This window comes from Homo sapiens, chromosome 1 (assembly GCF_000001405.40).
Source record: "Homo sapiens chromosome 1, GRCh38.p14 Primary Assembly".
NCBI classification, from domain to species: Eukaryota; Metazoa; Chordata; class Mammalia; order Primates; family Hominidae; genus Homo; species Homo sapiens.
The window spans coordinates 39,185,025-39,198,535 of NC_000001.11; the positions used below are offsets into that span (position 1 = coordinate 39,185,025).

Below are 13,511 nucleotides of genomic sequence, written 5' to 3' on the forward strand. Positions count from 1 at the left end.
CACACGCCTGTAATCCCAGCACTTTGGGAGGCCGAGGCAGGTGGATCACGAGGTCAGGAGATCGAGACCATCCTGGCTAACACGGTGAAACCCCATCTCTACTAAAAATACAAAAAAATTAGCTGGGCGTGGTGGCGGGTGCCTGTAGTCCCAGCTACACGGGAGGCTGAGGCAGGAGAATGGCATGTACCTGGGAGGTGGAGCTTGCAGTGAGCCGACATGGCACCACTGCACTCCAGCCTGGGCGACAGAGCGAGACTCCGTCTCAAAAAAAAAAAAAACAAAAAAGGAAAAAGAAAAGAAAAAGATATATCAGAAGAGCTGGGCATGGTAGCTCACACCTGTAGTTCTAGCTACTCGGGAGGCTAAGGCAGGAGGATTGCTTGAGCCCAGGAGTTCAAGGCTATAGAATAGTGCCATGATTGTGCCTGTGTAGTCACTGTACTCCAGCCTGGACAGCATAGAGGCCCAGTTTCTTTAAAAAAAAAAATTTTTTTTTTAAATAAACCCAAGATATATCAGAAGCAAGAAGGAAAAGTTAAAAAACAACAACTATAATTTGAAAGGGAGGAAGGAAAGCTTTATTTATTTCTTGACACAGTCTTTAATTGTTACGTTCTTCTGGCTGATCATGAGTTTTGTTTTTAGACAATATTACTAGGTACACTGTAGGATGTAAACAGATCTTTGGAGTAGGATAAGAAGGAAATGAGTCAGATAACTTACTTCTTAGAGAAGGGTGCTGGACTTTCCGGGGGCTTAGTTAGCAATATTCCTCCTCCCTGCTAGCAGCCATCTCCCTGTATCTCTTCATGAAATAACAAATCATTAGAAGAGATTTTTAACCTGAAGTGCTGAAGGACCCAGGGAAGAAAGTTCCCTAGGGTGTATTTGATTTGGGAGCCCCCTGAGGGTAATCTGTGGTGATGCTGTTTCAGAAGTCACCACCTGACTCGTTGTCAGATGAGTCTGAGCCCAAGACTCGTACCTGCCACATAATATATACAGGTCCTCTCTCCCTTTGGTTATGAGCTAAAGGCCTTTAATCATGAGGTAGAGGAGTGGATAAGGGAGAAATATCTGAAACCCAATTAACCAGATTCCAGAATGTTAAGGGAATCCATGTGGGGGCTGGGATTCTGAACATCTCTCTCTCTCTCTCTCTCTCTCTCTCTCTCTCTCTCTCTCTCTGTGTGTGTGTGTGTGTGTGTGTGTGTGTGTGTTTTGGTGGGGGGTGAAATGACTTTTTTTTTTTTTTAATTTGAGACAGAGTCTCACTCTGTCACCAGGCTGGAGTGCCGTGGCATGCTCGGCTCACTGCAACCACCAACTCCCTGGTTCAAATGATTCTCCTGCCTCAGCCTCCCGAGTAGCTGGGATTACAGGCACGCGCCACCACGCCCGGCCTAGAAATGACTTTTTTAGGGGCTCACCTATAGGATAAAATCCAAACTCATCTTGTCATTTAAGATCTTTCATAATCCAGTCCAACTTTCTATAACATTAAATCAAAATTATACATGTTCTTACTTTAAAAGGTTAAAATATTACTATAAGGCATATGACAAAAATAATCTGTATTTTCCACTATTTTTTTTTAAGAGACAGGGTCTCACTCTTCCACCCAGGCTGGAGTGCAGTGGTGTGATCATGGCTCACTGCACCCTTGAACTCCTGGGCTCAAGGGATCTTCCCACCTCAGCTTCCTGAGTAGCTTAGACTATAGGTGTGTACCACTGCGCCTGGCTAATTTTTTTTTCTTTTTGTAGAGTTGGGGGTCTTGTTTTGTTCTCCAGGCTAGTCTCAAACTCCTGGCCTCAAATGATGCTCCTACCTTGGCCTCCCAGAGTGCTGGGATTGCAGGTGTGGGCCCCCACACCTGGGCCACATTTCTGTTTCTTTTTTTTCTGCACACACAAACAGCCAGAATATATTTCTTTCTCTTTTACTAGTGATTCTTGATTTTTTTTTTTTTTTGGTTTTGAACATTATCTGTTGATATTCTACTACAGAAAATTAGGGTTTAGTTTTTTTATTCTTACCCCCTTAACGTACACACTTTCTCTTCCCCCTTCTTCCCAAAGTCACACGTTATTGCCGTTATATTCAGTGTTCAGATTATTGTGATTATATAAATATTGCTTAAAGGTGAGCTATGTAATATACTATGATTACATTTCCTTTTTGGACCAACTTTTAATTTTTCCTGGAATTAATAATTGCCATATTTTGTCACTTGTTTACTGATCTATGTACATACCTTCAGACTCTCTCATGGGACTCTAAGACTTCTCTCTCAGTATGTTGAAACATATCAAATAATCTTTTAGTTCAATAGTCTATTTGGAGACATCCCCCAGGAGCTTTCTCTTATTCACTCTGGATGGGTTGCTCTTAAAGCCTTTAGTAAAGCTGTCATCCTGGCACTTCCCTTCACTATCATACGGGGAAATTCCCTCACCTGTCTTCCCTGTTGGATTTCATGTTTCCCAGAGCTGATGTCGTATTTCATGATGTACTCCATTTTTTCATTGTGGTATATCCTAGCTTCCTGAGAAAGGATACAAGGGAGGTAAATGTTTTTGAGACTTTGCTTATCTGAAAATGTCTTATTCTACTTTTCATTTGATTAAGAGTTTGAGTATAGAGTTCTAGGTTGCAAATCACTTTCTAGCAGATTTTTTAAAAAATTATTTAAAATTTTTTTGTAGAAATGAGATCTCGCTATGTTGCCCAAGCTGGCCTCAAACTCCTGGCTTCAAGCAATTGTCTGGCTAATACTGCCTTTTAAGTCTCTCTAAGGATATTAATTAGAGGCTGTCTTTCTCTCTCTCTCTCTCTGTCTCTCTCTCTCTCTGTCTCTCTCTCTCTCTCTCTCCTCTCTCCTTCCTTCCTTCCTTCTTTCCCCTTTCCCTTCCCTTCCCTTCCCTTCCCTCCCCTCCTCTCCCCTCCTCTCCCCTCCCCTCCCCTCCCCTTCCCTTCCCTTTCTTTTCTTTTTTCCTCTGCATCCAGCATTGTCTCTGTTTCTTCTGAGCTCCTTCTATTTATTTTGGTCTCTGTCTTTCATGTTAGAAGTTCTCTTAAAATGTCTGATGTTTCTTGGTGATCTTCACATTTAAGACTTGGGCCCTGGCCAGGCACAGTGGCTCACACCTATAATCCCAGCACTTTGGGAGGCCGAGGCAGGTGGATTGCTTGAGCCCAGGAGTTCAAGACTAGCCTGGGCAACCCCATCTGTACAAAAAATTACAAAAATGAGCTGGATGTGGTGGCGCATGGAGGCTGAGGTGGGCAGATTGCTTGAGCCCCGGAGGTTGAAGCTGTAGTAAGCTGAGACTGCGCCACTACACTCCAGCTTGGGCAACAGAGTGAGACCCTGTCTCCAAAAATAAAAAAAGAAAGAGCTGGGCCCTAAAATGCTGATTGGTGGGACTCGTTAACTGGTATACTCCTAATGAATAACCAGGTAGAGGAGGTTGGTTTCCCCAGGAAAGACTGGCCAGTCTCCCATCTGGGGGCCAATTCTGGTAGCTAGAGCTCTGGGCCAAGTGGAGCAATTGGCCAGTCTGGAAGGGCCTCATCGTTCATTGTCAAAGTTTATTGATTGATTGATTGATTGATTGAGACGGAGTCTCACCCTGTCACTCAGGCTGGAGTGCAACCTCTGCCTCCCAGGTTCAAGCAATTCTCCTGCCACAGCCTCCCAAGTAGCTGGGATTACAGGTGTTTGCCACCATGCCTGGCTAATTTTGTATTTTTAGTAGAGGCGGGGTTTCACCATGTTGGCCAGGCTGGTCTCGAACTCCTGAGCTCAGGTGATCCACCTGTTTCTGCCTCCCAAAGTACTAGGATTACAGGTGCGTGCCACCACACCCAGCTAATTTTGTATTTTTAGTAGAGGCGGGGTTTCACCATGTTGGCCAGGCTGGTCTCGAACTCTTGAGCTCAGGTGATCCACCTGCTTCGGCCTCCCAAAGTGTTAGGATTATAGGCGTGAGCCATCATGCCCGGCCCATTGTCAGATTTCATTTAATATCCCTGTTTTCACTGAGACACCTGGCTCCTGACCTCACACGGGCCTGAAGACTTCCAACCAATCTTGTTTTCAGCCTTACTCTGCAGCATGCCTTCTCCTACCAAGTCTTCAGAGGTTCCTGGTGCTTCCAATTTCTGAGCCTTTCTGGGATTCTGCAGTACAATTTACCTTGTTTCTTATTGTTGCCCATTTCCTGCAGGCACTTAGCAGAGAGAAAGAAAGCTGACATTTAAGTTTTCGACCATTTGTTTATCCACACTCCAGTGTATCAAACTTTTGTTGCTATTTCTTATTCTTATTTTCTGTGGGTTTGTGCCATTTTAATTCTCTTACTGTCACTTTTCTGAGGTTTCTGAAAGGGAGCTAAATGTGCTTATTAAATTTGTGATGGATACCCCAAAGTTGGCAGAAGTTAATCTTCCCAATTTACTTACCTCTCTCTGAGCCTCCTCAACCCCAACCCAAATACACAAACCCTGTGGTTCATTCTAGTGTCACTTGTACTTTCTGTTTTTCATTCTCTTCCTCATGCTATCTCTCCTCCTGGAGTGTTTACTCTTCTTATTTCAGACTGTTGAAATCCTATACATTCTTCTAGTCCCAGGTTATATTTCTTATCTATGGAAGCCTTTTTTTTGACTTCCCCAACAGGAAATGACCATTTCATTGACTGAATTTCTGAAGTTCCATTCACTGAGTTCTTATAGTCTTGCCCTCCTGACACAGCCTGTACTGCTTTATGTTAAGACTATCTGTATACATATTTCTCCAGTTAGATTGTAAGCTCTTAAAGGATAGTAGCATAAGACTGGCTTTGTAATTTTTTTTGTTATTGATAACAATCAACATAGTACCTAGGCAACTAAATATTTCACAGAACCACAGAATTTTAGAGCTGGAAAAGAATTTAGAGATCTAGAATGTGAACTCATTTTATGAATGAGTAAACAGATCCAGTGTAGTTAAACGATCCTGAAGTCATTTAATAAGCCAAGAACAGAACTGGACCTATAATCGTCTCTAGTTCTGTAATGTCTAAATGCATTGATAAAATCTGATATGTGCTTATTTAGATATTCTGGTTTATCAAAGGTTAACCAGAGAGTGCTTTTTGTTTCATTCTTGTTGAAAATTTTTGTCAATATCTTTTTGGTTTTAGTAATTAGGTATGCCATAGGTAATTTCTTTTCTTTTCTCCCTCCTTCGCTGCCTCTCTCTCTTCTTTCTTTCTTTTTTCCTCCCCTCCCCGCCCCTCTCCTCTCTCTTCCTTTCTCTTTTCTTGTCTTTTCTTTCTTTCTTTCTCTTCTTTTGTGTGTGTGTGTGTGTGTGTGTTTGTTTTTGTTTTTTTTTTTTTTTTTTGATGGAATCTTGCTTTGTCACCCAGGTTGAAGTGTAGTGGCGTGAGTAGCTGGGACTACAGATGTGCATCCCCACACCCAGCTAACTTATTGTATTTTTTCATAACAACAGGGTTTTGCCATGTTGCCCAGGGTGGTCTCGAACTCCTGGGCTCAAGAAATCTGCCCTCTCGGCCTCCCAAAGTACTGCGATTACAGACGTGAGCCACCGCCTTGTGCTGTCTCTCTTTTTCTCTTTCTCTCTCTTTTTGATAAAAATCAGGATCTTGAGTATTCTGGATTTTGTCAAAAACTGAGCTGGAGGTGGTGCGGTGGCCTGTAATTCCAGCACTTTGGGAGGCCGAGGCAGGTGGATCACTTGAGGCCAGGAGTTTGAGACTGGGTTGGCCAACATGGCGAAACCCCGTCTCTACTAAAAATACAAAAATTAGCCGGGCGTGGTGGTGTGCCTGTAATCCCAGCTACTTGGGAGGCTGAGGCACGAGAATCGCTTGAACCTGGGAGGTGGAGTTTGCAGTGAGCTGAGATCGCACCACTGCACTCCAGCCTGAGTGACAGAGTGAGACTGTGTCTCAAAAACAAACAAACAAAAAAACCCCAAAACAACAACAACAAAAACTAAGCTGGATAATAGTTTTCTTCCCAGGCATATATGAGCATCAGAGACCCAAGGATTATAGGTAGGGAAAAAATGTAGGCAACTGTATTGAAGGTGCTCTGATTTTTAAGAAAATTTTAAAAATTCACTGGATATGATGTATTTGGGGTGATTCTTTCTTTCTTTTTTTTTTTTTTTTTTTAACCTAGCAGTAAAGTACAGGCCCAGTTGGGTCCTACTTAAAGTTTTCCTGTTTGACAATTTATCAGGAATTATTATTGCTTAAGATAGCTTTGAAGTAAATTGTCTGTGTCAAAGACCTTCCTCCACTTCTCTCACTTACCTAGCTCTTGGCAGCTGTTTCCAAAATGTTTGCACTAACTCCATAGATTCATGTCTGAAGGATTAGATACTCCAGGAACATCTATTGGGAGAAAGTTTAACTACAACTGTTGTCCATTTTTCAATTAATGTGCCAGTCACTAATCAAAAAAACAGATGCTGTCGTTTTCCTCATCCACTACTTGGGACACCTAAGGATGGATGGACAGATACTTAAGAGGCTGCCTCCTTCTTCTGAGATTGGGCTTTTCATCAGGGCTGTGCCACAGGGTGTGATGCTGTGTGATAGCAGATGGCTCTGCTTCATGCCCATTACTTTTTGTTTTATCCAAAGTAGAAGCTGTGGTCCCCAGATTTTAGAGAGTAAGGGCTTAATCATACTCATTGGCTTTTCTGCCTTTGCCTGTTTCTGCATTGCCACCTGGCTGCCATTAGAGGGAATTCATTACAACTCTGAGTCCCTGCAGGGAGCTGAGAGGAGCTATCCTTGTGTTTAGGATGGGACATGTGTTCTTAAAACTGGGCCAGGCACGGTGGCTCCCAGCACTTTGGGAGGCCGAAGCAGGTGGATCACTTGAGGCCAGGAGTTCGAGACCAGCCTGGCCAACATGGTGAAACTCCGTTTCTATTAAACATACAAAAATTAGCTGGGTGTGGTGGTGTATGCCTGTAATCCCAGCTACTCAGGAGACTGAGGCACAAGAATTGCTTGAACCTGGGAAGTGGAGATTGCAGTGAGCCGATATCTCACCACTGCACTCCAGCCTGGGCGACACAGCAAGACTCTGTCTCAAAAAAAGAAAAAAACAAAAAACTTAAAAATGGTTACCCAGATTTCCTTTTATGACTTGTTCAGTCAGAGGCAGCTGGGAGGATGCACGCTGGGGAAAGCATTACTCACCAGGCACACATAGTGGCCCTGACTGCTGGCAAGTAGTCTGGGCTGTGTTAAGAGTGAGTCACCTCGGGGAATGGAAAAATTGCAAGGTACTGAGGGGTAGGAGTTGTGTGCCAGTGACTGCTCCTTTTCTGTCTGCTATTTTCTCTATAAGGACTCATCACAAAACCATAAATACTGACGATCCTGTTGAGGCAGCCGTGAAGCCAACCAACTTTATGGTGATAATGTTTCCCATAAAAGGAATGAGCTGACTGGACATAGCATTGTTGCCTTCTATGTTACAGGTGTATATAGATTTTGACACAAGCTTGAACTTGTATAATGAAAGTTCCATGTGTGAGAATTTCATCAGAATAAAAGCAACACAGTTTTCTTTGTTGTTTAAAAACTTAGTCTTCTGTGTCTATCTATCTTTGTCCAGTAGGGGTCACTGAGGGTTAGGCTCTCAATAAGAGAAACACTAATCTAGTGATAAATGAGCTGGATTCCTTGTCTATTGTGACATCTTTGTATATTCAGTACTATGTTTTTTAAAATATTAGAGCAGAAACAAAAGGCGTGAACTTGTATTAAGAACTTTATGGGCGAAGCGCAGTGGCTCATGCCTGTAACCCGAGGCGGGTGGATATCACCTGAGGTCAGGAGTTCGAGACCAGCCTGGCCAACATGGTGAAACCCCGTCTCTACCAAAAATACAAAAAAATTAGACGGGCATGGTGGCGCATGCCTGTAATCCCAGCTACTTGGGAGGCTGAGGCAGGAGAATTGCTTAAACCCGGGAGGCAGAGGTTGCAGTGAACCGAGATTGTGCCATTGCACTACAGTCTGGGCAACAAGAGTGAAATTCCATCTCAAAAATTAAAAAAAAAAAGAATATTTCTGGACAAAAATAACAATCCTGGGCAAGATTCTGGAACAGTCCCCATAGACAGGGCTTCTTTTCTTCGTATCATTTTTTTCTCCATTTCTTTAAGATGTTGGCTACCAGAGTTTCCTGGAAAAAGCTTACTAGATAGATATTATTTCATTGGGGAAAAGGGTCAAAATGCCAGAGAGAGAGATTACTTAAAATGGTAATATGGCTGTTGAGGTTGACTAGATATTCTTGTCCTTTCCCTTTTTGAAGCAATGCTGTCGAAGCCTAATTTGACTTAGTCATTGAGCTGTTCAATACCACACATTACTTTCACTTACCTTCTTGCATTTGCCACTGAGGATGACTTGATGCCCTGCTAGGAGGTCTCTTGTGTGGTAATCATAATAACAAGAGTTGGCATTAATGAGTCAATGTTTAATGCTTTTTAAATAGTTAATGCTTACTGTGTGCCAAATATATTATGCATTTTCTCACTTAATCCTCACTGTAACACTGTGAAGAGGTAATTTTATTATCCCTTTTTGACATGAGATAACTATGGATTAAAGAGATTAAGTAATTGGTTCATAGATACACAACTAGAGATTGTGAAATCAGAATTTGAATATAGGTTTGGCTCACAAATTATATTTACAGCCCTGGTAAGAGAGAGAGGGAGAGAGAGAGAGAGAGAGGCAGGCACTTGGGTTTAAGAGTGAGTTTTCTTTTTTCTTTTTTTCTTTTTTTGAGACAGTTTCGCTGTTGTTGCCCAGGCTGGGGTGCAGTGGCATGATCTCAGCTCACTGCAACCTCCACTTCCTGGGTTCAGGCAATTCTCTTGCCTCAGCCTCCCAAGTAGCTGGGATTACAGGCACTCCTGGGTAATTTTGTATTTTTAATAGAGATGGGGTTTCACCATATTGGTCAGGCTGGTCTCGAACTCCTGACCTCAGGTGATCCAACCACCTCGTCCTCCCAAAGTGCTGGGATTACAGGCATGCGCCACCACACCTGGCCAAGAGTGAGTTTTCTAAGTGCTGTACCAGAGCATCTCTCACTTTATTTTCTGCCCCTCCTCTTTAGTGTTACTTTCCCTTTTCTTTCTTAAGGGTAAGACCTTCAGTTGCTGAGCTTGATAGGAAGGCCATCTAGAGTTAGATCCTGGGCAGAATCCATATCCGGAGGGATTTCCAGAAGTGGAATTTCTTTTCTTTTCTTTTCTTTTCTTTTCTTTTCTTTTTTTTTTTTTTTTTTTTGTGATAGAGTCTTGTTCTGTTTCCCAAGCTGGAGTGCAGTGGCGCGATCTCAGCTCACTGCAGCCTCCACCTCCCGGGCTCAAGGGATTCTTCTGACTCAGCCTCCCAGGTAGCTGAGACTACAGGCACATGCCACCATGCCCGGCTAATTTTTGTAATTTTAGTAGAGACGGGTGGCCAGGCTGGTCTTGAACTCCTGACCTTAGGTGATCCACCCCGCCTCAGCCTTTTAATGTGCTGGGATTACAGGCGTGAGCCACCATGCCCAGCCAAAAGTGGAATTTCTTTCTCCCTGCCTTCCTCTCCCCTCCCCTCCCCTCCCCTCCCCTCCCTTCCCTTCTCTATTGTCTTGCTCTGCTGTCTAGGCTGGAGTGCAGTGGTGTGATCATAGCTCACTGTGGCCTGAAACTCCTGGGCTGGAGTGATTCTCCTGCCTCAGCCTCCCAAGTAGCTAGAACTACAGGTGTGTAACCACTGGGCCTGGCTAAGTGTTATTATGTTTTGGAGAGATGGGGTCTTGCTATGTTGCCCAGGGTGGTCTTAAACTCCTGTCCTCAGGCAGTCCTCCTGCCTCAGCTTCTCAAAGCGCTGGGATTACAGGGGTGAGCCACTGCTCCCAGCCAAGCAGTTTAATTTCTGAATTAATAAACTATCTTCCTTCCAGCTCCAAGGAAAAGCAAAACTTACACTTGTGTTCTTGGAGACACTTTTTTCTTTTAAATTCCCAGGTAGATTTGGAAGTTCACTGTTAAAGATGGTTCGACACCCTTGTTAGTGTATGTTACCTACTAGGCCTCTCTAGAAGAGCATTTTGAGTTATTTCTGCCATAAGATGAATGGTTTTCCAGGCACTTGTTCTCGGTTGTATGTTTTTGTGGTCAAAAAAGATGCATTACCAGAAGAAATGTTTATATTTTGGGAGTATTCATAATTCACTGGGCCCAGCTTTGCCCTTTCTAGTGTGCACCCGCCCCCATTCTTGCTCTTAAGCAGTTCTCAGATCCTCTCATTCATTTATTAATTTGCTCATTCCACAAATAGTTATTTAGTGACTAAGATTTTATAAAGGAGAGCAGACATTTATCTAGCTTCAAAAACAGTCTAGTGAGGGAGTAACAATATGTGCTCAGCTGTATTATAAAGCACAAAGTGCTAAACTTTATGAGAGAAACAGATAAAGTATAATAAAAGCTCAAGGGAGGGAGAAGTTTACTTCTCACTGGGATGGAGGGAGGAACTGGAGATAATTCTGTGGAAGTACTGGCTTTAAGCTGGTCTATAGAAATAGGAGTTTAATATCTGGAGATGGGAAGGAAAAACGTGCCAGGATAATGAGGGAAATATTGTGAAGCCAGAGAGTTTTGGATTTAATTTGCTGATAGGGAGAAATGTAAAGTTTTACAGTGAAGTTATAAATAAACATTTATTAAGCATTTAAAATGTGCCAATCATTATACATGCTTCAAGGAGATTACTGTTGTGGTGAACGAGGGCAGGGTTGGTAAGTTGGAGACTGAGATTAGACAGATTAGGTAATTTAGGTGAGGTAAGTTATCAGTTGCCAAGGTTTCGTACAGTCTGAGCAATATTCATAGTCTTTGTGGTCAGATGTAGTTTGTTTGCTGCTCCTCCAAATAATGACAATTATAATCAGCAATTATTGAGCAGGTATTGAGCACCTGAAACACATTAACTCATTCATCCTTACTACAACTCTGAGACAGATGCTATTATTATCATCATTTTACAGATGAGGAAATTGAGGTTCCATGAAGTTAAGTAACTTGCCCAAAGATGCTAAATGTGATGTATACATAGTAGTATGGATTTAAACCCAGGCAGACTGGGCTTATAATTTCCATGCTACTATAATACTCATGGCATCTATGTATACGGAGCAATAAATATGGAGATTTTCCTTACTTTATTGTATTCAATGACACTTTTGTATGTAGAATGTTCTTTGTAGACATTCTGGGCCTTTGCAAGTTGTCTCAATACCACATTGCCAAACCTTAGAGGCAGAGTCATGGATGTCTCCTAATTAAGTTATCTGAAGCCCACATCCTCTGCCTGTCTTCAGTTAGATGCCTAGTGTACTCATGGGAGGGGACAGATGACAAGAGTTTCAGGGCCAGGCTTTGATGTCTGCATCGTGCCATTTCCAGAAACCCAAGGTTTTCAGTCCTATCGGTTATGTGCTATTCCCTCTACCAAATTTATAATCTTAGGTATATTTATTGTATTTTTTAAAAGACTTCTCTCTTTGTAAGCATTATTTTTCTAGATTTGGCTTTTTTAGTTACGGTGTAACGTAAATTTTTAGTCTGAATCTGCTAAAGTTATGATGCTTGTGGATATCAATTATTTTGAGACCAAGTAAATCTCAATGACATTTGAATAAAATGTCCAGCATACCTTTGCACAGGCTTGTTTTGCTTGCAAACATTAAAGTAATTCTGGGGTGTTGCCTTGTGTTGAGATTTCTTGTGGGTAACAGTTAGGGGAGACCATCCCAAATTCCTGTGGGTAATCCCAAAGAGAGGCAGATCTAAAATCTTAATGAAGTTCTGAGTCTGTCTTCTACAAGGCTTCTTTCATGGTTTGGGGCCCTGCCCGTTGGCTGTTAGTAAGGGATATCCTGGGGGGTGCTAAATGTGACTTTAAAAAGACTGTTCTTTGTATGATAAATGATCTCTTAAAAAGAAAACTAGTCACTCCCTCCTGCCAGCCTCTAACCACTTCCTGTAAATGACAGCACACAGATCTTAGTTTCACCAAGTGAAAAAATTATTTTATTTTCATGAAAGCAGTTCCCCTCTGCTTCTTCCTTCCAACATACATATATATAATAAATATAAATATAAATATATACACACACACACACACAAGCTGCAGATAGGCAGGCTTTTTACCTGTAATATCAAGGTATAAAATGACATGTTTTTATGATCTTATGAGAATAAATTACTTTGGTTATCTTTCATTGTCTTCTCTAATAATAAATGTAGGTTCAGAACATATCTTGGTATTTGAGTACTTTGGATTTTTTCCCCCAAATTTCCTAGGTGTTTTTGAATGACACAAACATGGTATATGATTTTCTAATTACTGATGCCAGAAGCTCCTATAACAGCTTTATGATGGCTTCAGGTAGCAAATAGGGCAGGGAAATGGCTTTCACTTTGGGAAACGAAAATATGGTGAAGGTATTTGTAAGACTGTGAAAAGACGGTTGTGGTGGCTCATGCCTGTAATCCCAGCACTTTGGGAGGCAGAGGCGGGAGGGTCACTCTTAAGGCCAGGAGTTTGAGACCAGCCTGGACTACATAGTGAGACCCCATCTTCAAAAAAAATTAAAAAATTATAGCCAGCATGGTGATGCATGTTTATAGTCCCAGCTCCTCAGGAGGCTAAACCAGGAGGATTGCTTGAGCCTAGGAGTTCAAGGCTGTAGTGAGCTATGATCACACCACTGCATTCTGGCCTGGGCGACAGAGCGAGACCATGTTTCGAAAAAGATGGTTGAGAAATGGTGGACAGATGCCAAGTGGAGTGGCTCATGTCTATAATCCCTGCACTTTGGTAGGCTGAGGCAGGCAGATCACTTGAGCCCAGGAGTTCGAGACCAGCCTGGGAAACATGGCAAAACCCCATCTCTGCAAAAAACACAAAAATTAGCCAGACGTGGTGGCACATGCCTGTAGTCCCAGCTACTCGGGAGGCAGAGGTGGGAGGATTACTTGAGCCCGGTAGTTTGAGGCTGCAGCGAGCTATGATTGTGCCACTGCATTCCAGCTTGGACTACAGAGTAAGACCCTGTCTCAAGAAATGGTGATAGAAACAGCACTAGCAGGCTGGGCGCGGTGGCTCATGCCTATAATCCCAGCAGTTTGGGAGGCCCAGGCGGATGGATCACCTGAGGTCAGGAGTTGGAGACCAGCCTGGCCAACATGGTGAAACTCTGACTCTACTAAAAATACAAAAATTAGCTGGGCGTGCCGGGCGCGGTGGCTCACTCCTGTAATCCCAGCACTTTGGGAGGCTGAGGCGGGTGGATCATGAGGTCAGGAGTTCGAGACCAGCCTAACCAATGTGATGAAACCCCGTCTCTACTAAAAATACAAAAATTAGCCGGGTGTGGTGGTGTGTGCCTGTAATCCC

The 13,511-nt window shown here is 42.8% G+C and overlaps 1 protein-coding gene across 1 annotated transcript in view, besides 2 other annotated features; it reads left to right on the plus strand.

Moving 5' to 3' along the window:
- The window catches only part of MACF1 (microtubule actin crosslinking factor 1), a 402,972-nt gene that overhangs the window by 100,858 nt on the left and 288,603 nt on the right, over nt 1-13,511 (plus strand). The window lies entirely within an intron of this gene.
- Nucleotides 6,484-7,026: an enhancer, noted in NCBI's record as "OCT4-NANOG-H3K27ac hESC enhancer chr1:39657180-39657722 (GRCh37/hg19 assembly coordinates)". NCBI's record gives its function as "activates a minimal SCP1, AML or CMV promoter by ChIP-STARR-seq in primed H9 embryonic stem cells {active_cell/tissue: H9 hESC(primed)}" and the evidence as "EXISTENCE:reporter gene assay evidence [ECO:0000049][PMID:30033119]".
- Nucleotides 11,853-12,147: a silencer, noted in NCBI's record as "tiled region #6545; HepG2 Repressive non-DNase unmatched - State 23:Low". NCBI's record gives its function as "represses a minimal TATA promoter and a strong SV40 promoter by Sharpr-MPRA in HepG2 cells {active_cell/tissue: HepG2}" and the evidence as "EXISTENCE:reporter gene assay evidence [ECO:0000049][PMID:27701403]".